The following is a 24622-nucleotide window of genomic DNA, read 5'->3' as shown; positions in this document are numbered from 1 at the left end:
AAGAGAATAAAATACCTAGGAATCCAACTTACAAGGGATGTGAAGGACTTTTTCAAGGAGAACTACGAACCACTGCTCAAGGAAATAAAAGAGGATACAAACAAATGGAAGAACATTCAATACTCATGGGTAGGAAGAATCAATATCATGAAAATGGCCATACTGCCCAAGGTAAATTATAGATTCGATGCCATCCCCATCAAGCTACCAATGACTGTCTTCACAGAATTGGAAAAAAACTACTTTAAAGTTCATATGGAACCAAAAAAGAGCCCACATCGCCAAGTCAATCCTAAGCCAAAAGAACAAAGCTGGAGGCATCATGCTACCTGACTTCAAACTACACTACAAGGCTACAGTAACCAAAACAGCATGGTACTGGTACCAAAACAGAGATATATATCAATGGAAAAGAACAGAGCCCTCAGAAAGAATGCCACATATCTACAACTATCTGATCTTTGACAAACCTGAGAAAAACCAGAAATGGGGAAAGGATTCTCTATTTAATAAATGCTGCTGGGAAAACTGGCTAGCCATATGGAGAAAGCTGAAACTGGATCCCTTCCTTACACCTTATACAAAAATCAATTCAAGATGGATTAAAGACTTACATGTTAGACCTAAAACCATAAAAACCCTAGAAGAAAACCTAGGCATTACCATTCAGGACATAGGCATGGGCAAGGACTTCATGTCTAAAACACCAAAAGCAATGGCAACAAAAACCTAAATTGACAAATGGGATCTAATTAAACTCAAGAGCTTCTGCACAGCAAAAGAAACTACCATCAGAGTGAACAGGCAACCTACAAATTGGGAGAAAATTTTCGCAACCTACTCATCTGACAAACGGCTAATATCCAGAATCTACAATGAACTCAAACAAATTTACAAGAAAAAAACAAACAACCCCATCAAAAAGTGGGCGAAGGATGGGAACAGACACTTCTCAAAAGAAGACATTTATGCTGCCAAAAAACACACGAAAAAATGCTCACCATCACTGGCCATCAGAGAAATGCAAATCAAAACCACAATGAGATATCATCTCACACCACTTAGAATGGCAATCATTAAAAAGCCAGGAAACAACAGGTGCTGGAGAGGATGTGGAGAAATAGGAACACTTTTACACTGTTGGTGGGACTGTAAACTAGTTCAACCATTGTGGAAGTCAGTGTGGTGATTCCTCAGGGATCTAGAACTAGAAATACCATTTGACCCAGCCATCCCATTACTGGGTATATACCCAAAGGACTATAAATCACGCTGTTATAAAGACACATGCACATATATGTTTATTGTGGCACTATTCACAATAGCAAAGACTTGGAACCAACCCAAATGTCCAACAATGATAGACTGGATTAAGAAAATGTGGCACATATACACCATGGAATACTATGCAGCCATAAAAAATGATGAGTTCATGTCCTTTGTAGGGACATGGATGAAATTGGAAATCATCATTCTCAGTAAACTATCACAAGGACAAAAAACCAAACACCGCATGTTCTCACTCATAGGTGGGAATTGAACAACGAGAACACATGGACACAGGAAGGGGAACATCACAGTCTGGGGACTGTTGGGTGGGGGGAGGGGGGAAGGATAGCATTAGGAGATATACCTAATGCTAAATGACGAGTTAATGGGTGCAGCACACCGGCATGGCACATGTATACATATGTAACTAACCTGCACATTGTGCACATGTACCCTAAAACTTAAAGTATAATAATAATAAATATATATATATATACTTTGAAAGAATAAAAGGGTGCAGGCAAGATGGTCAAATAGGAACAGCTCTGGTCTGCAGCTCCCAGCCAGATCAACGCAGAAGGTGGGTGATTTCTGCATTTCCAACCGAGGTACTCGGCTCATCTCATTGGGACTGGTTAGACAGTGGGTGAAGCCCATGGAGGATGAGCCAAAGCAGGGTGGGGTGTCACCTCACCTGGGATGCACAAGGGGTCAGGGAACCCCCTCGCTTAGCCAAGGGAAGCCATAAGGGACTGTGCCATGAGGGATGGTGCAATACGGCCCCAGATAACACGCTTTTCCCACAGTCTTCAAAACCCACAGACCAGGAGATTCCCTCAGGTGCCTACACCACCAGGGCCCTGGGCTTCAAGCAAAACACTGGGCAGCAGTTTGGGCAGACACTGAGCTAGCTGCAGGAGTTTTTTCTCAAAGCCCGGTGGCGCCTGGAACACTAGGAAAACAGAACTGTTCACTCCCCTGGAAAAAGGGCTGAAGCCAGGCAGACAAGTGGTCTAGCTCACCGAATTCCACCCCCATGGAACCCAGCAAGTGAAGACCCACTGGCTTGAAATTCTCACTGTGAGTACAGCAGTCTGAAGTCGATAGGGCATGCTCTGGCATGGTGGGGGGAGGGAGGGCCACAATTACTAAGGCTTGAGTAAGTGGTTTTCCCCTCAGTGTAAACAAAGCCTTCAGGAAGTTCAAACTGGGGGGAGCCCACCACAGCTCAGCAAAACCACTGTAGCCAGACTGCGTCTCTAGATTCCTCCTCACTTGGAAGGGCATCTCTGAAAGAAAGGCAACAGCCCCAGTCAGCAGCTTACAGATTAAACTCCCATCTCCCTGAGATAGAGAACCTGGGGGAAGGGGCGGCTGTGGGCCCAGCTTCAGCAGACTTAAAAGTTCCTGCCTGCTGACTCTGAAGAGAGCAGCAGATCTCCCAGAACAGCACTAGAGCTCTGCTAAGAGACAGACTGCCTCCTCAAGTGGATCCCTGACTGCTGTGACTCCAGACTGGGAGACAGCTCCAAGCAGGGGTCGACAGACACCTCATACAGGACACATGTGGCTGGCATCTGGAAGTTGCCCCGCTGAGAGAAAGCTTCCAGGGAAAGAAACAGGCAGCAATCTTTGCTATTCTGCAGCCTCCACTGGCAATAACCAGGCAAACAGGGTCTGGAGTGGACTTCCAGCAAATGCCAGCAGACCTGCAGCAGAGGGGCCTGACTGTTAGAAAATAGACTAACAAACCAAAAGGGATAGCATCAACATCAACAAAAAGAACATCCACACAGAAACCCCATCCAAAGGTCACCAGCATCAAAGACCAAAGGAAGATAAATCCATGATGATGAGGAAAAAACAGCACAAAGAGCCTGAAAATTCCAAAAACCAGAACACTGCTTCTCCTCCAAAAGATTACAACTCCTCACCAGCAAGGGAACAAAACTGGACAGAGAAAGAGTTTGATGAATTGATGGAAGAAGGCTTCAGAAGGTGGTTAATAACAAACTCCTCCAAACTAAAGGAGCATGTTCTAACCCAATGCAAAAAAAGCTAAGAACCTTGAAAGAGAGAGGAATTGCTAGCTAGAATAACCAGGTTAGAGAAGAACATAAATGATCTGACAGAGCTGAAAAACACAGCATGAGAACTATGTGAAGCATACACAAGTATCAATAGCCAAATCAATTAAGCAGATAAAGGGCATCAGAGATTGAAGATTAACTTAATAAAATAAAGCGTTAAGACAAGATTAGAAAAAAAAAGAATGAAGAAAGCAAACAAAGTCTCCAAGAAATATGTGAAACTATGTGAAAAGACCAAACCTACGTTTGATTGGTGTACCAGAAAGTGACAGAGAGAATGGAACCAAGTTGAAAAACACTCTTCAGAATATTAAAAGACGAACTTCCCCAACCTAGCAAGACAGGCCAACATTCAAATTCAGGAAATACAGAGACCACCACAAAGATACTCCTCAAAAAGAGCAACCCCAAGACACATAATCGTCAGATTCACCAAGGTTGAAATGAAGGAAAAAATGTTAAGGGCAGCCAGAGAGAAAGGACAGGTTATCCACAAAAAGAAGCCCATCACACAAACTGCAGAACTCTGCAGAAACCCTGCAAGCCAGAATAGAGTGGGGGCCAATATTCAGCATTCTTAAAGAAAATAATTTTCAACCCAGAATTTCACATCCAGCTAAACAAAGCTTCATGAGCAAAGGAGAAATAAAATTCTTTACAGAGAAGCAAATACTGAGAGATTTTGTCACCACCAGGCCTGCCTTACAAAAGCTCCTGAAGAAAGCACTAAACATGGAAAGGAAAAAACTGTACCAGCCACTGCAAAAAAAAATACAAAATTGTAAAGACCATCAATACTATGAAGAAACTTCATCAACTAGGGAGCAAAATAACCAGCTAGCTTCATAATGACAGGATCAAATTCGCACATAACAATATTAACCTTAAATGTAAACAGGCTAAGTGTCCCAATTAAAAGACACAGACTGGCAAATTGGATAAAGAGTCAACAGCCATCAGTGTGCTGTATTCAGGAGACCCATCTCACTTGCAAAGACACATATAGGCCCAAAATAAAGGGATGAAGGAATATTTACCTAGCAAATGGAAAGCAAAAACAAGCAGGGGTTGCAATCCTACTCTCTAATAAAACAGATTTTAAACCAACAAAGATTAAAAAAATACAAAGAAGGGCATTACATAATGATAAAGTGATAAATGCAACAAGTAAAGCTAACCATCCTAAATATATATGCACCCAATACAGGAGCACCCAGATTCATAAAGCAAGTTCTTAGAGACCTACAAAGAGACTTAGACTCCCACAAAATAGTAGTGGGAGACTTTAACACCCCACTGTCAATATTAGACAGATCAAAAACACAGAAAATTAACAGGGATGTTCAGGACTTGAACTCAGCTCTAGACCAAGTGAACCTAACAGACATCTACAGAACTCTCCACCCCAAATAAACAGAATATACATTATTCTCAACACCACAGGACACTTATTCTAAAAATGACCACATAATTGAAAGTAAAACACTCCTCAACAAACGAAAAAGAATGAAAATCAAAACAAAGAGTCTCTCAGACCACAGTGCAATCAAATTAGAAGTCAGGATTAAGAAGCTCACTCAAAACTGCAAAAGTACATGGAAACTGAGCAACCTGCTCATGAGTGACTACTGGGAAAATAACAAAATTAAAGCAGAAGTAAAGAAGTTCTTTGAAGCCAATGAGAACAAAGACACAATGTACCAGAATATCTGGGACACAGCTAAAGCAGTGTTTAGAGGGAAATTTATAGCACTAAATGCCCAAAGGAGAAAGCAGGAAAGATCTAAAATCGACACCCTAACATCACAATTAGAAGAACTAGAGAAGCAACAGCAAACAAATTCAAAAGCTAGCAGAAGACAAGAAATAACTAAGATCAGTGCAGAACTGAAGGAGAGAAATGAAAACTCGTCGAAAAATCAACGAATCCAGGAGCTGTTTTTTTTTGTACAGATCTACAAAATATATAGACTGCTAGCCAGACTAATAAAGAAGGAAAGAGAGAAGAATCAAGTAGATGCAATAAAAATGATGAAGGGAATACCACCACTGATCCCATAAAAATACAAACTACCATCAGAGAATACTATAAATATCTCTATGCAAATAAACAAGAAAATCTAGAAGAAATGGATAAATTCCTGGACACGTACACCCTCCCAAGACTAAACCAAAAAGAAGTCACATCCCTGAATAGACCAATAACAATTGCTGAAATTGAGGCAGTAATTAATAGCCTACCAACCAAAAAAAAAAAAAAAAAAAGCCCAGGACAAGATGAATTTACAGTCAAATTCTACCAGAGGTACAAGGAGGAGTTGATACCATTTCTTCTGTAACTCTTCCAAACAATAGAAACAGAGGGAATCCGCCCTAACTCATTTTATGAGTCCAGCATCATCCTGATACCAAAACCTGGCAGAAAGACAACAAAACAAGAAAATTTCAGGCAAATATCCTTCATTAATATCAATGCAAAAATCCTCAATAAAATACTGGCAAACTGAATCCAGTAGCGAATCAAAAAGCTTATCCACCACAATCAAGTCAGCTTCATCCCTGGGATGCAAGGCTTGTCCAATATACACAAATCAATACATGTAATCCATCACATAAACAGAACCAATGACAAAAACCACATGATTATCTGAATCGATGCAGAAAAGGCCTTTGATAAAATTCAACACCCTTTCATGCTAAAAGCTCTCAATAAACTATATATTGATTAAACATATCTCAAAATAATAAGAGCTATTTATGACAAACCCACAGCCAATATCATACTGACGAGGCAAAAGCAAAAGCTGGAAGCATTTATTTGAAAACTGGCACAAGACAAAGATGCCCTCTCTCACCACTCCTGTGTAAAATAGTATCAGAATTTCTGGCCAGGGCAATCGGGCAAGAGAAAGAAATACAAGGTATTCAAATAGGAAGAGAGGATGTCAAATTGTCTCTGTTTGCAGATGACATGATTGTATATTTAGAAGAGCCCATAGTCTCAACCCAAAATCTCCATAAGCTTATAAGCAACTTCAGCAAAGTCTCAGGATACAAAATCAATGTGCAAAAATTACAAACATTCCTATACACCAATAACAGACAAACAGAGAGCCAAATCATGAGTGAACTCCCATTCACAATTTGTACAAAGAGAATAAAATACCTACAAATACAACTTACAAGGGATGTGAATGACCTCTTCAAGGAGAACTACAAATCACTGCTCAAGGAAATAAGAGAGGACACAAACAAGTGGAAAAACATCCCATGCTCATGGATAGAAAGAATCAATATCATGAAAATGGCCATACTGCCCAAAGTAATTTATAAATTCAATGCTATCCCCATCAAGCTACCATTGACTTTATTCACAGAGTTAGAAAATATTTTAAATTTTATATGGAAACAAAAAAGAGCCTGTACAGTCAAGACAATCCTAAGCAAAATGAACAAAGCTGGAGGCATCACACTACCTGACTTCAAACTATACTGCAAGGCTACAGTAACCAAAACAGCATGGTACCAAAACAGACATATAGATAAATGGAACAGAACAGAGGTCTCAGAAATAACGCCACACATCTACAACCATCTGATCTTCGACAAACCTGACACAAGCAATGGGGAAAGGATTCCCTATTAAATAAATAGTGCTGTGAAAACTGGCTAGCCATATGCAGAAAACAGAAACTGGACTCCTTACTTACACCTTATACAAAAATTAACTCAAGATGGATTAAAGACTTAAATGTAAGACCTAAAACCATAAAAACCTTAGAAGAAAACCTAGGCAATACCATTCAGGACTTAGGCATGGGCAAGGACTTTATGACTAAAACACCAAAAGCAATGGCAACAAAAGCCAAAATTGACAAATGGAATCTAATTAAACTAAAGAGCTTCAGCATAGCAAAGAAACTATCATCAGAGAGAACAGGCAACCTACAGAATAGGAGAAAATTTTTGCAATCTCTCCATCTGACAAAGGGCTGATATCCAGAATCTACAAGGAACTTAAACAGCTTTACAAGAAAAAAACAAACCTCACCAAAAAGTGGGTGAAGCATATAAACAGACACTTCTCACTAGAAGATATTTATGCAGCCAACAAACATATGAAATAAAAAGCTCGTCATTACTGGTCATTACAGAAATGCAAATCAAAACCACAATGAGATACCATCTCATGTTAGTTAGAATGGCGATCATTAACAAGTCAGGAAACAACAGATGCTGGAGAGGGTGTGGAGAAATAGGAACGCTTTTACAGTGTTGGTTGGAGTATCAATTAGTTCAACCATTGTGGAAGACAGTGTGGTGATTCCTCGAGGATCTAGAACCAGAAATACCATTTGACCCAGCAATCCCATTACTGGGTATATACCCAAAGGATTATAGATTATTCTACTATAAAGACACACACACACATATGTTTATTGCAGCACTGTTCACAGTAGCAAAGACTTGGAACCAAGGCAAATACCCATCAATAATAGACTGGATAAAGAAAATGTGGCACATATACACCATGAAATACTATGCAGCCAGAAAAGAAGGATGAGTTCATGTCCTTTGCAGGAAGATGGATGTAGCTGGAAACCATCATTCTCAGCAAACTAACACAAGAACAGAAAACCAAACACTGCATGTTGTCACTCATAACTGGGAGTTGAACAATGAGAACACATGAACACAGGGAGGGGAACATCACATGCTGGGGCCTGTCATAGGGTGGGGTGCTAGGGGAGGGATAGCATTAGAAGAAATACCTAATTTAGATGACAGGTTGTTAGGTGCAGCAAACCACCATGGCATGTGTATACCTATGTAACAAACCTGCACATTCCGCAGAACTTAAAATATACATGTATCCCAGAACTTAAAATATAATTTAAAAAAAAGAAAGAATAAAATCTAGTGTTTGGTATCACAATAAGGTGACTATAGTTATCAACAATGTATTCTATATTTCAAAATAACTAGAAGAGTCGATTTGGAATATTACTAACACAAAGTAATAATAAATGTTTTAGGCAATGGATATCCCAATTACTAGATTTGACTATTATGCATTGTATACTTGTATCGAAATATTACATGTACCCCATAAATATGTACAACTAGTATGTATCTGTTAAGATAAAGAAAATTTTAAAAGAGTAATACTCCCATAGGAATAGTTGCAGATGAAAAATAATTTAATTTATTCATTAAAAATAATAATGTTGTGGGAGCTTTCGATTCTAGGTGTAGCACCCTGGTGGAACAAAAAACTCCAAGAGTAAATATGTTGAAGAGGGTAAGAGAAGTAGTTTCCCATTAACTGTATCACCTCTACCCTAAGGTAACAGAGCTTGGTGCCAAAAGAGGCCCAAGGAAAAGGAAATTTCTCCCACAAATTAAAGTTGGAGACACAGCTTCCCCGGCCATGCAGAATACTGCCCAGGAGATGACCTTCTCTCTTGCCCCACTCAAAACAGAGTACATCAGCAAAGCTGAATTCTCTGCAGTTAACTAGGAGCAGTGAAAAGGAGAGGAAACACATAAGAGCCAGCATGCAATACACAATAATCAGTCATGAATACTACTTACCAGTACATGGACTCCACCAAGAAAATTGTCCATAAGCCCTGCAGGGTGACTTACCTGAGGACCCCACACGCAGCCAACATGTGCCCCAAGCTTCCTTCCTCCCCAGTGGAAAGCACCCCACACATCTCTGTGCATGACTCACATGAGAACAATAAATAGCATATGGATCTCATAATCAGGTCAGAATCTTAACAGTCAGCTTGAATCTTCTGGATTGAGAGAGGGCATATAAACTTGAACAACTCAGGACACACTGCTTTAGGGAAAATAAATGGGATGGTCAGAGCACCAGGTCTCGCTTTGCAGCATAGAGAGAAGGTAAACAATACTCAGTCTTTCCCCCTAAGAATAATTAAGAAGAGTGAAGAAGGCACATCCATGGAAAAGGTCTGAACGCCTCCCAGAATATCTGGCTGGGCTCACTGGTAAAGATCTTTCTTCCCCAAAGCCTGTTATAAACAGTAGAGAAGATAACTGCTTTTTCAACTGTGAAGACAACAATCCAAGCCTCCAAGGAACATAAAGGATCAAGGAAATATGAAAGAATTGAAGGACCAAAATAAAGCCCCAGTGACTGACCCCAAAGAAATATAGAACTACAAATTGCCTGACAAAGAATTCAAAATAATCACTTTAAAGAATCTCAGCGAGCTACAAGAAAACTCATAGAGACAACTAAATGAATTCAGGAAAATGATACACAAACAAAATGAGAAGTACAACAAAGAGATACAAACAATTAAATAAAAGAGAAAGGAAAAGAAATTCTAGAGGTGCAGAATACAATAAAGAGATAGAAAAATATATTCCATGCAAATTGCAGCATCAAAAAGTAACAGAGGTGGCTATACTTAGGCAAGATATAGTTGAAGTAAAAAATAAGGCCCACAAGAGACAAAGGAGGTTATTATATAATGATAAAACAGTCTATTATTCAAGATGATATTACAATTTGCTTTATATAGTTATATGGTCCAATGTTGATGAGATATATATAGCTACATAAAGCAAATTATAATAGATCTGAAGAGAGTAACAAAATAATTGTACAGTACTTCAACACTCCACTTTCAACAATGTATAGATCATCTGGAGAGAATATCAACAAGGAAATACTGGACTTAAACTACACTTGAGAACAAATCGACCCAACTGGAATATAAAGAATATTCCATCTAGCAGCAGCAGAACACACATTCTTCTCAAGTGCTCATGGAACATTCTCCAAGACAGACAATTTGTTAGGCCACAATACATGTCTTACCAAATTTAAAAACATCAAAATCGTATGAAGTATCATTTCAGCCACAATGTTATGAAACTAAAAATCAATTTAGAAAATTAGAAAACTCCCCATTATGTAGAAATAAACAAATATCCTTCTGAAAAAAAATGGGTCAACTAATAAAAGGAAATTAAAAAAAAATCTTGGACAAATGAAAACAAAAACACAACACACCAAATATTATGAGTTGTAGCAAAAGCTGTTCTAAGGGAGCACTTATGGCAATAAACACCTACATTAGGATACAAGAAAGAATACACATAAAATACCTAACATCACACTTCAGGAAACTAGAAAAGAGGCCAAAATAAGCCCAAAGTAAACATAAGGAAGAAAATAATAAATATCAGAGTAGAAATAATGTAATACTGAAAAAAACTAAGATTTTTTTTAAAAAACTGAAGAACAACATTGAGAAAACATTAGCTGGACTACCTAAGAAAACATAGAAAAGACTCAAATAAATAAAATAAAAAATAAACAAGTAGACATAACAAGTGGAAACATAGAAGTAAAAAATTGTAAGAGACTAATATAAACAATTATATGTCAACAGATTGGATAACCTATAAGAAATAAGTAAATTCCTAGAAACATAGAACCTACACCATAAAAACTACAAAGGCTGAGTCATTAATAAACTGAAAGTCTGAACACACCAATAATGAATAAAAAGATTAAATAAGTAATCAACTCTCCCAAAAAAAGATAAGCCCAGAACCTGATGGTTTCACTAGTGAATTTTACCAATGATTTAAAGAAAAATTAATGACGATCTTCAAACTCTTCAGAAAAATCAAAGAGGAGGAAAAAAATTACAGACCTATTCTACAAGCCCAGCATTACCCTGATATCAAGGCCAGATAAAAAATAAAATTACAGGTAAATATCTGAGATGAACATAAACACAAAAATCTTCAACATAATACCAGAAAACCTAATTCAACCATGTTAAAAGGATAATACAAAACAATTAATTGAGATTCATCCCTGGGATGCATAGATGTTTTAATACAACAATGTGCTGCATATGATGTTTTGGTCAATAATGAACCATATTTATGATGGTGGTCGCATAATATTATAATACCAGTATTATTTATATGTTTATATATGTTTGGATAAACACATACTTACCATTGTATTAAAATTGCCTACAATTTTCAGTACAGTAACATGCTGTATATGTTAGTATCCTAGGAACTAGAGACTATACTATATAACCAAAGTTTGTAGTAGGCTATACCATCTATGCTTCTGTAAGTACACTCTATATTGTTCACACAATAACAAAATCGTCTAACAATGCATTTCTACAAATGTATCCCATAGTTAAGGGACACAAGTCTGTATATGAAAATCAATAAACATGACACACCACATTACCAGAATGAAGGATAAAAATCATAGTATCATTTCATTACATGTAAAGAAAAATACACTTGACAAGATTCAACATTATTTTTGTGATAAAAGCTCTCAACAAATTAAGTACAGAAGAAATGTATCTCAACACAATCAAGGTCATATATCACAAGCCCACAGCTAACATCAGACTCAATGGTGAAAAGCTGAGAGCTTTTCCTCATAAGGAATAAGATAAAGGTGTTCACTTTGGCTATTTCTATTCAACATGTCACTGGAAGTCTTAGCCAGAGCAATGAGGCAAATAAATAAATAAATAAATAAATAAATAAATAGCATGCAAATTGGAAAGGAAAATGCAAAATTGTGTTTGCAGATGACATGTTCTCATACGTAAAAATCCTAATATTTCACATAAAATGTTAGAAATAAATCAGGAAATAATCTAATTTACAATAGAATTAAAATGATTAAAATACTAACACATAAGTTCAACCAAGAGGAGAAAGTCTGTACATTAATAACTATATAACATTGATGAAAAAATTAAAATAGGCAGAAAAGAATGGAAAGATATTCCATGTTCACAGATTGGAAAATTAATATTGTTAATATCTTCATTAACAGCCAGATCTACAGACTCAATGCATTTGCTATCAAAATTCAAATGAAATTTTCTTACATAAATAGAAAAGATAATCCTAAAATTTGTATGGAACTACAAAAAGCCATGAATAGCCTAAGCAATCTTTATCAAAATAATAATAATAATAATAATGTGGAAGCATCACACTTCCTAACTTAAAATTATATTACAAAGCTATAGTAATCAAAACAGTATGGTATTGGCATCAAAACAGACACATTGCCTGAATAGAATTGAAAGCAAATAAAACTAAATCCATGTGTATAAAGTCAAGAAACTTTTGACAAAAGTAACAAGAATACATAGTGAAGAAAGAACAATCTCTTCAATAAGTTATTTTATGAAATCTGGATATCCATTTGCAAAAGAATGAAATTAATCCCTTATCTTAAACCATACACAAAAATCATCTCAAAATGGATCGAAGATTTAAACATAAGACTTGCCAGTTCTCAGACAAGGAAATTAGTGTCTTTCTGATTCGAGTTTGGAGCAGCTTCTCCAATGCGAGCCCCTTCCAGGCTTCCCATTAGATGACTGACTAGAGATGCCAAATGCCAGTTCTCCTCATAAAAGAGATCAAAGTTATGGGTGAGCAGTCACCCCGAGTGGAAAGCTGAGGGAAGAGTGCCAAAAACTCTCAGAGAGCTACAGAATAAGCTAGGGTACAGAAAAGAAAGGCAGCAAAAATCTGGCAGAGATTGGCCCCCAAAAAGCTTGGAGTTCCATGGACAGGTTAGGTAGGGTATTACTTTGCTCCCCTCACCCATGTGACAGAATGCTGACCAACAAATTGTTGGAAAGTTCCTCTGCCCTCATGAGCCTGAGTAACACTCTCAATGGTTATGTGGGAACTTCCTGGGGGCAGAACACTGGTTGGTGAGCTCCTGCAGTTGTACTCACATGATTCCTCAACCCAAATTCAGGTGGAAGGTGCCATAAAGGTTTTGCACCCAGTATAAGCCACCATCTTGCCCATGGAATCTCAGCTCTTATTTCACTGCATCAACAGATACCCTGCAAACATACCCCAGAATCTGCTCTGACTTCGACAAATAAGAGGATCACTAGATCCTTAGGGAACTGCAGGATCCCTAGAGATCTAGCCTTTGGCATGAGCCACCATTATGGGAATGGGGAGCAGAGCCCTCCAAAGCACCACTTGGGACAAAGGAAACACAGGTACAATGCTGATCTCCAATGCAGGAGAGAGTATGGTTCTGTCTCAGTGGATGGGCAGCACTAGTGACTGGCAACAAATGTAGAGAGATCACCTCCTGCCACCCCATCTATTGCCACAGATGCAGCCAAGGCTTTTCCCACTGGGGGCTGGTGCAAGTGCACTTTGTGGTTGTTCGTCTAGCACTTTTAATAGTGGCTCCATCCACACTGAATGTGTGCCCACCACCTGGGCTCAAACAATGACTGGGGTTCATCTTCCTCTCTCTACACAGAGTGGTAGCATCCCTGCCACAGAGTGCAGACCAGCCACAGAACTGTATGTTTTGGGCTGCAGGAAGACGTCTGCCCAAAGGCAATTTTGGCAGTAACTGGCAGATGGGCATTTCCTGCAAACCTCAGTCACATTGTGGACTAGAGATAAAAGACAGCATATATCTGAACTGAAGGTTATGATCCCTGTGTCAGGGGCATTATAGGAAAGCAGATTATGTTCCTTCCTGTCCAGGACAAGTTGCTGGTGCAGCCCCCTCCCCTAAGATCTCAGCATATCAAACCAAACACTCCCTCTACCGTCCCCATCAGGGTGGGTGTTTCCATAATTCATTAGAGTACCCCAGGGTAAGCTGGCTCTTACGCATCCCCTACTCTACTGTAGAGCAAACTTCCCACCAAATAAAAACCTGCTGACACAGCATAGTGCTAACGTGCAAGATAAGCTTTCTGAGAGCTCTGCACTCCCAGCTCACAGAAGATAGTGTGCCAGATCATATGGCCAATGCATCATTACGATAAGCAGCATTTGAGAAAGCCACGACACAAAAGTTATATATAGCCAAAGAACTCATACAGAGCCCTTGGCACATTGAAAGCACCCAGATATGGAGGCAAAAGGTCATACATGACATCCATTACAGTCAAACCACTGAGGAATTTTTATCTGTACAATGGCAATTTCAAAACTAAGAAGTGACAGCTGCTTCAAATGAGAAGGAACCAGTGCAAGAACTCTGGCAGTACAATAAGGGAGATTGTTTTGACACCCCCAAAGGACATCAATATCTCCATAGCAATGGATCCTAACCAAAATGAACACTTTGAAATGACAGATAAAGAATTGAAAATATAGATTGTAAGGTAGTTCAATTAGATTCAAGAGAAAGTTGAAAACCAAAATAAATTTTAAAAATTCAGGATATGAAAGATGAGATAAATATATTGAAAAACCAGAACTTCTGAATATTAAAAAGTCACTAAATGAATTACAAAATACAGTTGAAAACTTTAATGACATACTAGATGAAGCAGAAGAAAGAATTTCAGAGCTTAAAGACTGTTCTTTTAAATTAACACAGTCAGAGAAAAATTTTTTTAAAAAATTAAAAAATGGGGCAACCCCCCTTGGGCCCCCTCCTATTTTATGGGAGCTCTGATATACCGCTGGAGCTGAGCTTTCACTCACCATCCACCACTGCTGTTTGCCGCCATCGCAGACTTGCCACTTACTTCCACCACTCTGGATCTGGCAGGGTGTCTGCCACACTACTGATCCAGCGAGGTGCCCATTGCCGCTCCCAATCGGGCTAAAGACTCACCACTGTTCCTGCATGGCTAAGTGCCTGGGTTCGTCCTTATCAAGCTGAACACTAGTTGCTGGGTTCCATGGTTCTCTTCCATGACCCACAGCTTCTATTAGAGCTATAACACTCACTGCATGGTGCAACATTCCATTCCTTGGAATCTGTGAGGCCAAGAACCCCAGGTCAGAGAACACGAGGCTTGCCACCATCTTTGAAGTGGCCCGCCACCATCTTGGGAGCTCTGGGAGCAAGGATCCCCCGGTAACATTTGGTGACCATGAAGGGACCTCCAAAGTGGTGAGTAATATTGGACTACTTTTGCTTGCTATTCTGTCCTATCCTTCCTTAGAATTGGAGGAAAATACCAGGCACCTGTCAGCCAGTTAAAAACGATTAGCATGGCCACTGAACTTAAGACTCAGGTGGGAAGCTGTCTGGGAAAGGGCTTTCTAACAACCCCCAACCCTTCTGTGTTGGGAGTGTTGGTCTGCCTGGAACCAGCTTCTGCTTTCAATTTTTCTGGGGAAGCTGAGGGCCGACTAGAGGCAGAAAGCTGTCATCCTGAACTCCCGGCATTAGCCGGTTGAGATCATGGTGCAGCCAGAAGTCTCTACTCAACAGTCACCCATGCGTGTGCCCCTACCTTTCCTTCTGACCCATACCTCCTGGGTCTGGACCACGACTTTCCTGAAAGAGTAGCCCCAAAATTCTCATTACCTCTGAATCTACTTCCTCCTCTCCCTGCCTCCTAGATACTAATGCTTCAGACCTTCACTTCCTCTCCCAAGTATTACAGCAGGTTGTATCTCCAAAGGGATCTAAGGAAGATCTATGCTGCATCCTTAGGCCCCTAGGCTATGAACCCAGGGAGTCTTGTCGCTGGTGTCCCTCCCAATTTAGGCATACAACTCTTGACATGAGCAGTTATGTGGGACCCATTCCCTACCACCCTTGTCAGGGCCTTAGAAATGATAACCCAGTACTTTAACAACTGGAACTGGGTCTACAACAACATAATAGATCAGGATGAAAGCAAATTGAGTAAATAAAAGGGAGGCACATATTCATATAGTGGCAAATGGGGGCAATGAGCGAATGTCCTTCCACTGTTTCCAAAATCCATCTACAAAGACAGAAAGGAGAAAGAAAGAGAGAAAGAGAAAGATAGAAGTAGTAAAGAAAAAATAGTGTACCCTATTTCTTTAAAAGCCAGGGTAAATTTAAAACCTATAATTGATAACTGAAAGTTTTCTCCATGACCCTATAACACTCCAATACCACTTTGTTGTCAGTGTAAACAAGGATGTAGCCTGAAAGCACTGAGGCCACTGATAACCAGTAGACTTCCTATAAAAAATCTTTAACCCAGGAACCTGTGGATGGCCCAAATGCATTCATTCTGTAGCAGCAACTGCTTTGCTAACAGAAGAAAGTAGAAAATTAGCCTTTAGAGGAAACCTCATTGTGAGCACACCTCACCAGTTCAGAACTATCCTAAGTCAAAAAAGCAAAAAGGTAGCTTACTAACTTAAAAATCTTAAAGTATGGGGCTATTCTGTTAGAGAAAGATAATTTAACATTAACCACAGAAAATTCCGTTAACCCAGCAGATTTCCTAACAGGGGATTTAAATCTTAATTACCATACAAATGTCTGAACAGACCTAGGAGGGACTCCCTTCAGGACAGGACAATAGATGGTTCCTCCCAGGTGATTGAGAAAAAAACACAATGGGTATTCAATAATTGAGGGAAACTCTTGTAGAAGCAGAGTTAAGAAAATTGCCTAATAATTGGTCTGCTCAAACGTGCGAGCTGTTTGCACTCAGCCAAGCCTTAAAATACTTACAGAATCAAAAAACTCTATCTCAATCCTGACTCAAAAGGTTACCCACACCCTCTCTGAAATGAATTTGCATAAGAACGGTTGTTTGTAGGAATGCATCTTGATGGGGCAAATGGGTTATTATGAAATACTCAGGAACCCAGCCCAGCTCTAGAACTCGCCCCTGAGTGCAAAGGCAATGTCAGGCTTGCTGGTAAAGGACCACTAGAATCCAGCAGCCCAGACCCCTTTCTTTGTGGTCAAGAAAGGCAGGAAAACAGGTGCAGGACTGCTACATCAGTGAGCGTAACTAATCCAATAAGCAGAGGTCTATGGGTGACCTGAAAAGGAATAAGCATTAGGACCACAGAGGACGCTGTAAGACTAATGTCCATTGGAAAATTACTAGGGGTGCTGGCGTCCCTATGTTTGTTTGTTTGTTTTTTTCAGATGGGAAACTTCCCCCCAAGGCAAAAATGCCCCTAAGATGTATTCTGGAGAATTCGGCCCAGTCAGAGTGCATGTGCCTTTTTCCTCTCAGACTTGAAGCAAATTATAATAGACCTAGGTAAATTCTCAGATAACCCTGATGGCTATACTGATGTTTTACAAGGGTTAGGACAATCCTTTGATCTGACATGGAGACATATAATGTTACTGCTAGATCAGACACTAACCCCATATGAGAGAAGTGCCACCATAACTGCAGCCCGAGAGTTTGTCAATCTCTGGTATCTCAGTCAGGTCAATGATAGGATGACAACAGAGGAAAGAGAATAGTTCCCCACAGAACAATTCTGCCACCAGGCAGTTCCCAGTGTAGACCCTCAGAGGGATGCAGAATCAGAACATGGAGATTGGTGCCACAGACATTTGCTAACTTGCGTGTTAGAAGGACTAAGGAAAACTAGGAAGAAGCCTATAAATTATTCAATGATGTCTACTATAACACAGGAAAGGAAGAAAATCCTACTTCCTTTCTGGAGAGACAAAGGGAGGCATTGAGGAAGCATACCTCTCTGTCACCTGACTCTATTGAAGGCTAACTAATCTTAAAGGATAAGTTTATCACTCAGACAGCTGCAGACATTAGAAAAAAACCTTCAAAAGTCTGCCTTAGGCCTGGAGCAAAATTTAGAAACCCTAATGGAGTTGGCAACCTCAGTTTTTTATAATAGAGATCAGGAGGAACAGGTGGAACAGGACCAATGAGATAAGAAAAAGGCTACCACTTTAGTCATGGCACTCAGGCAAGTGGAATTTGGAGGCTCTGGAACACGGAAAAGCTGGGCAAATTGAGTGCCTAATAGGGCTTGCTTCCAGTGTGGTCTACAAGGACACTTTAAAAAGATTGTCTGAGTAGAAATAAGCTGCCCCCTCATCCATGCCCCTTATGTCAAGGGAATCACGGGAAGGCCCACTGCCCCAGGGGACGAAGGTCCTCTGAGTCAGAAGCCACTAACCAGATGATCCAGCAGCAGGACTGAGGGTGCCCTGGGCAAGAGCCAGCCAATGCCATCACCCTCACAGAGCCCCGGGTATGCTTGAACATTGAGGGCCAGGAGGTTAACTGTCTCCTGAACATTGGCAGAGCCTTCTCAGTCTTACTCTCCTGTCCCGGACAACTGTCCTCCAGATCTGTCACTATCCAAGGGGTCCTAGGACAGCCAGTCACTAGATACTTCTCCCAGCCACTAAGTTGTGACTGGGGAACTTTACTCTTTTCACATGCTTGTCTAATTATGCCTGAAAGCCCCACTCCCTTGTTAGGGAGAGACATTCTAGCAAAAGCAGGGGCCACTATACACCTGAACATAGGAGAAGGAACACCCATTTGTTGTCCCCTGCTTGAGGAAGGAATTAATCCTGAAGCCTGGGCAACAGAAGGACACTATGGATGAGCAAAGAATGCCTGTCCTGTTCAAGTTAAACTAAAGGATTCCACCTCCTTTCCCTACCAAAGGCAGTACCCCCTTAGACCCGAAGCCCAACAAGGATTCCAAAAGATTGTTAAAGACCTAAAAGCCCAAGGCCTAGTAAAACCATGCAGTAGTACCTGCAATACTCCAATTTTAGGAGTACAGAAACCCAACGGACAGAGAAGGTTAGTGCAAGATCTCAGGATTATCAATGAGGCCGTTGTCCCTCTATATCCAGCTATACCTAACCCTTATACTCTGCTTTCCCAAATGTCAGAGGAAGCAGAGTGGTTTACAGTCCTGAACCTTAAGGATGCCTTTTTCTGCATCCCTGTACATCCTGACTCTCAATTCTTGTTTGCCTTTGAAGATCCTTCAAACCCAATGTCTCAACTCACCTGGACTGTTTTACCTCAAGGGTTCAGAGATAGCCCCCATCTATTTGGCCAGGCACTAGCCCAAGATTTGAGCCAGTTCTCATACCTGGACACTCTTGTCTTTTGGTATGCGGATGATTTACTTTTAGCTGCCCGTTCAGAAACCTTGTGCCATCAAGCCACCCAAGTGGTCTTTTTATAAATTTTTTATTTATTTATTTTTGAGACAGAGTCTCACTCTGTCGCCCAGGCTGGAGTGCAGTGGCATGATCTCGGCTGACTGCAGGCTCTGTCTCCTGGGTTCACACCATTCTTCTGCCTCAGCCTCCCAAGTGGCTGGGACTGCAGGCGCCCGCCACCACACCTGGCTAATTTTTTTGTATTTTTGGTAGAAACGGGGTTTCACTGTGTTGGCCAGGATGGTCTCAATCTCCTGACCTTGTGATCTGCCCGCCTCAGCCTCTCAGGGTGCTGGGATTGCAGGCATGAGCCACTGCGCCCAGCCCCACCCAAGTGTTCTTAAATTTCCTTGCCACCTGTGGCTACAAGGTTTCCAAACCAAAGGCTCAGCTCAGCTAACAGCAGGTTAAATTCTTAGGTCTAAAATTATCCAAAGGCACCAGGGTCCTCAGTGAGAAATGCATTCAGCCTACACTGGCTTATCCTCATCCCAAAACCCTAAAGCAACTAAGAGGGTTCCTTGGCATAACAGGCTTCTGCCAAACATGGATTCCCAGGTACAGTGAAATAGCCAGGCCATTATACACACTAATTAAGAAAACTCGGAAAGCCAATACCCATTTAGTAAGATGGACACCTGAAGCAGAAGTGGCTTTCCGGGCCCTAAAGAAGGCTCTAACCCAAGTCCCAGTGTTAAGCATGCCAACAGGGCAAGACTTTTCTTTATATGTCACAGAAAAAGCAGGAATAGCTCTAGGAGTCCTTACACAGGTCCGAGGGGCCAGCTTGTAACCTGTGGCATACCTGAGTAAGGAAATTGATGTAGTGGCAAAGGGTTGGCCTCATTATTTATGGGTAGTGGCAGCAGTAGCAGTCTCAGTATCTGAAGCAGTTAAAATGACACAGGGAAGAGATCTTACTGTGTGGACATCTCGTGATGTGAATGGCATACTCATTGCTAAAGAAGACTTGTGGCTGTCAGACAACCGTTTGCTTAAATATCAGGCTTTATTACTTGAAGGACCAGTGCTGCAACTGCACACCTGTGCAACTCTTAATCCAGCCACATTTCTTCCAGAAAATGAAGAAAAATAGAACATAACTGTCAACAAGTAATTGCTCAAACCTACACCACTCGAGGGGACCTTCTAGAGGTTCCCTTGACTGATTCCGACCTCAAATTGTATACTGATGGAAGTTTCTTTGTAGAAAAAGGACTTTAAAAAGCGTATTATGCAGTGGTCAGTGATAATGGAATACTTGAAAGTAATCCCCTCACTCCAGGAACTAGTGCTCAGCTGGCAGAAATAATAGCCCTCACTCAGGCGCTAGAATTAGGAGAAAGGAAAAGGGTAAATATATATACAGACTCTAAATATGCTTACCTAGTCCTCCATGCCCATGCAGCAATATGGAGAGAAAGGGAATTCTTAACTTCTGAAGGAACACCTATCAAACATCAGGAAGCCATTAGGAGATTATTATTGGCTGCACAGAAATCTAAAGAGGTGGCAATCTTACACTACTGGGGTCATCAGAAAGGAAAGAAAAGGGAAATAGAAGGGAACCGCCAAGTGGATATTGAAGCCAAAAGAGCCACAAGGCAGGACCCTCCATAAGAAATGCTTATAGAAGGACCCCTAGTATGGGGTAATCCCCTCCAGAAAACCAAGCCCCAGTACTCAGCAAGAGAAAGAGAATGGGGAACCTCACAAGGACATAGTTTCCTCCCCTCAGGATGGCTAGCCACTGAAGAAGGGAAAATACTTTTGTCTGCAGCTAACCCATGGAAATTATTTAAACCCTTCACCAAACCTTTCACTTAGGCATTGATAGCACCCATCAGATGGCCAAATTATTATTTACTGGACCAGGCCTTTTCAAAACTATCAAGCAGATAGTCAGGGCCTGTGAAGTGTGCCAAAGAAATAATCCCCTGCACTGCAGGCCATACAAATCCCCTGCACTGCCAGGACACACATTTCAATCCCTGTATCTTTAACCTCCTTGTTAAGTTTGTCTCTTCCAGAATCGAAGCTGTAAAACTACAAATCATTCTTCAAATGGAGCCCCAGTTGCAGTCCATGACTAAGATCTACCGTGGATTCCTGGACCGGCCTGCTAGTCCATGCTCGGATGTTGATAACATCAAAGGCACCCCTCCAAAGAAAATCTCAATGGCATGATGCCTACTATGCCCCAATTCAGCAGGAAGCAATTAGAGCGATCATCAGCCAACCTCCCCAACAGCACTTGGGTTTTCCTGTTGAGAGGGTGTGACTGAGAGACAGGACTAGCTGGATTTCCTAGGCCGAATAAGAATTCCTAAGCCTAGCTGGGAAGGTGACCGCACCCACCTTTAAACACAGGGCTTGCAACTTAGCTCACACCCGACCAGTCAGCTAGTAAAGAGAGCTCACTAAAATGCTAATTAGGTTAAAACAGGAGGTAAAGAAATAGCCAATCATCTATCACCTGAGAGCACAGAGGGAGGGACAATGATCGGGATATAAAACCTAGACATTTGAGCCGGCAGCGACAACCCCCTTTGGGTCACCTCCCATTTTATGGGAGCTCTGTTTCAGTCTATTAAATCTTGCAACTGCAAAAAAAAAAAAAGTTAAATGAACAACATCTTCAAGAAATATAAGATTGTGTAAAGCAACCAGATCCGCAATGCATGGCCATTCCTGAGGGAGAAGAAAAAGTAAGAAATTTGGAAAACATATTTGACGGAATAATTCAGGAAACATTTCCTGATTTTGTTAGAGTTGTAGATATCCCGATACCAGAAATTCTGAGAACACCTGTGAGATATTACAGAAGATTAATATCATCAAGGCTTATAATTATTTGATTATCCAAGTTCAATGTGAAAAAACAAATCTTAAAAGCAGCTCCATTGATGGGCATTTGGGTTGGTTCCAAGTCTTTGCTATTGTGAATAGTGCTGCAATAAACATACGTGTGCATGTGTCTTTATAGCAGCACGATTTATAATCCTTTGGGTATATACCCAGTAATGGGACGGCTGGGTCAAATGGTATTTCTAGTTCTAGATCCTTTTGATAGACTGGATTAAGAACATATGGCACATATACACCATGGAATACTATGCAGCCATAAAAAAGATGAGTTCATGTCCTTTGTAGGGACATGGATAAAGCTGGAAACCATTATTCTCAGCAAACTATTGCAAAGAGAAAACCAAACACCGCATGTTCTCACTCATAGGTGGGAATTGAACAATGAGAACACATGGACACAGGAAGGGGAACATCACACATCGGGGCCTGTTGTGGGGTGGGGGGAAGGGGGAGGGATAGCATTAGGAGATATACCTAATGTAAATGACGAGTTAATGGGTGCAGCACCCCAACAAGGCACATGTGTACATATGTAACAAACCTGCACATTGTGCACATGTACCCTCGAACTTAAAGTATAATAATAAATAAAAAAAGAAAAAAAAAGCAGCTACAGAGAATCATCAAATTACCTATGATGGAAATCCCACTAGTCAAACAGTGGACTTCTCAGCGGAAACCTACCAAGCCAGTAGAGATTGAGAGCCTGTTTTTAGCCTCTGTGAAGAAAAAAAAAATGCCAGTAAAGAATTTTATATCCTGCCAATTAAGCTTTATAAATGAAAAAACGTAAAGTACTTCCCAGATAAGCAAATGCTAAGGGAATTCATCATTGAACCAGCCCTACAAGAAATGCTCATAGAAGTACTAAATATGGAAACAAAAAAATGACACTGACATCATAAAAGCACATGTCACATGTGCACATGAGCAAAACTCACAGATCTTATCTGGCAATTACATGATTGAGACTACAAAGCATATAGCTAACATCAGTGTGACAGAAACAGAACCTCATGTATCAGTACTAACATTGAATGTAAATGGCCTAAATACTGCACTTAAAAGATATAGGCTGGCATATTGGATGAAAAAGCAAGACCCAACTAACTGTTGCCTAAGACACCCACCTAATGGTTACAGACAAAAAGCAAAAGGGGGAAGAAGATGTATCACGCAAATGGAACAGAAAACTGAGCTACTCTTTAAACAAAAGTAAACAAAAAACAAAGAAGGGCATTATATAATGAGAAATATAACTATCCTAAATATATATGCACCCAACACTGGAAGACCAAATTCATAAAACAAATATGACTAGACCTAAGAAAATAGAAAGCAATACAAAAATAGTGGGAAACGTAAATAACTCACTGACAATACTAGACAGATCACGAAGGCAGGAAATCAATAAACTCTGGACTTAAATTGGACCCAGACCAAATGAACCGCATAGATATTTACACAACATTTGACAATGTTATGTAAATGACAGAATATACATTTTCTTATCTGCATATAGAACATTCTCCCAAATTAACTACATGCTTGGCCATATAGCAAGGCTCAATACACTTGAAAAAATAATAATTATATCAAGTATCTAATTGGACCACAGTGGGATAAATGTAGAAATCGATATGAAGAGGAACTCTCAAAACAACACAAATACATGGGAACTAAATAACTTGCTCCTGCATGACTTTTGGGTAAACAATGAAATTAAGGCAGAAATAAAATAATATTTTTGAAACACAAAAATGGGGACACAACATACCAAAACTCCTGGGATGCAACAATAGCAGTATTAAGAGGAAAAATCATGGCATTAAATGCCTTCATCCAAAAGAGAGAAAAATCCCCAACTAACAACCTAATGCTCCACTTCAAGGAAGTAGAAAAACAAGAAAAAAAAAAAAAAAACACTAAACCTAAAGCTAGCAGAATAAAAGAAATAACTAACACCAAAGCAGCACTAAATGAAATTAAGATTAAAATAATTATACAATCATTAAAATGAAAAGTTTGTTCTTTGAAAGGATAGACAAAATTGATAGACCACCAACTAGATTAATTGAGAAGACAGCTGACTCAAATAAACACAATCAGAAATGATAGTGTTGACATTACAACCAATATCACAGAAACAGAAAAGATCATCAGAGACTATTATGAACACAAACTAGAAAACCTAGAAAACATGGATACTTCCTGGACACATACAACCTCCCAAGATTGAACCAGAAAGAAATGGAAATCCTAAACAGACCAATAACAAGTAATGAATTTGAATCTGTAATACAAAATATCCAACAAAAATGGCCCAGGACCAGATTGATTCACAGCTGGATTTTACCAGACATACAAAAAACTTGTCCCAATCTTACTTAAATTATGCCAAAAAATCAAGGAAGAACAATTCCTCTCTAACTCATTCTATGAAAGC

The 24622-nt window shown here is 40.0% G+C and overlaps 1 protein-coding gene across 14 annotated transcripts in view; it reads right to left on the bottom strand.

Annotated features, from left to right (window-relative positions):
• Positions 1 to 24622, bottom strand: part of FAAH2 (fatty acid amide hydrolase 2) — a 367606-nt gene that overhangs the window by 68722 nt on the left and 274262 nt on the right. The gene's annotated exons all lie outside the window — the stretch shown is intronic.

Source organism: Homo sapiens, chromosome X (genome assembly GCF_000001405.40).
Source record: "Homo sapiens chromosome X, GRCh38.p14 Primary Assembly".
Classification (NCBI taxonomy): Eukaryota; Metazoa; Chordata; class Mammalia; order Primates; family Hominidae; genus Homo; species Homo sapiens.
This window is presented reverse-complemented; position numbering and strand designations above follow the sequence as displayed.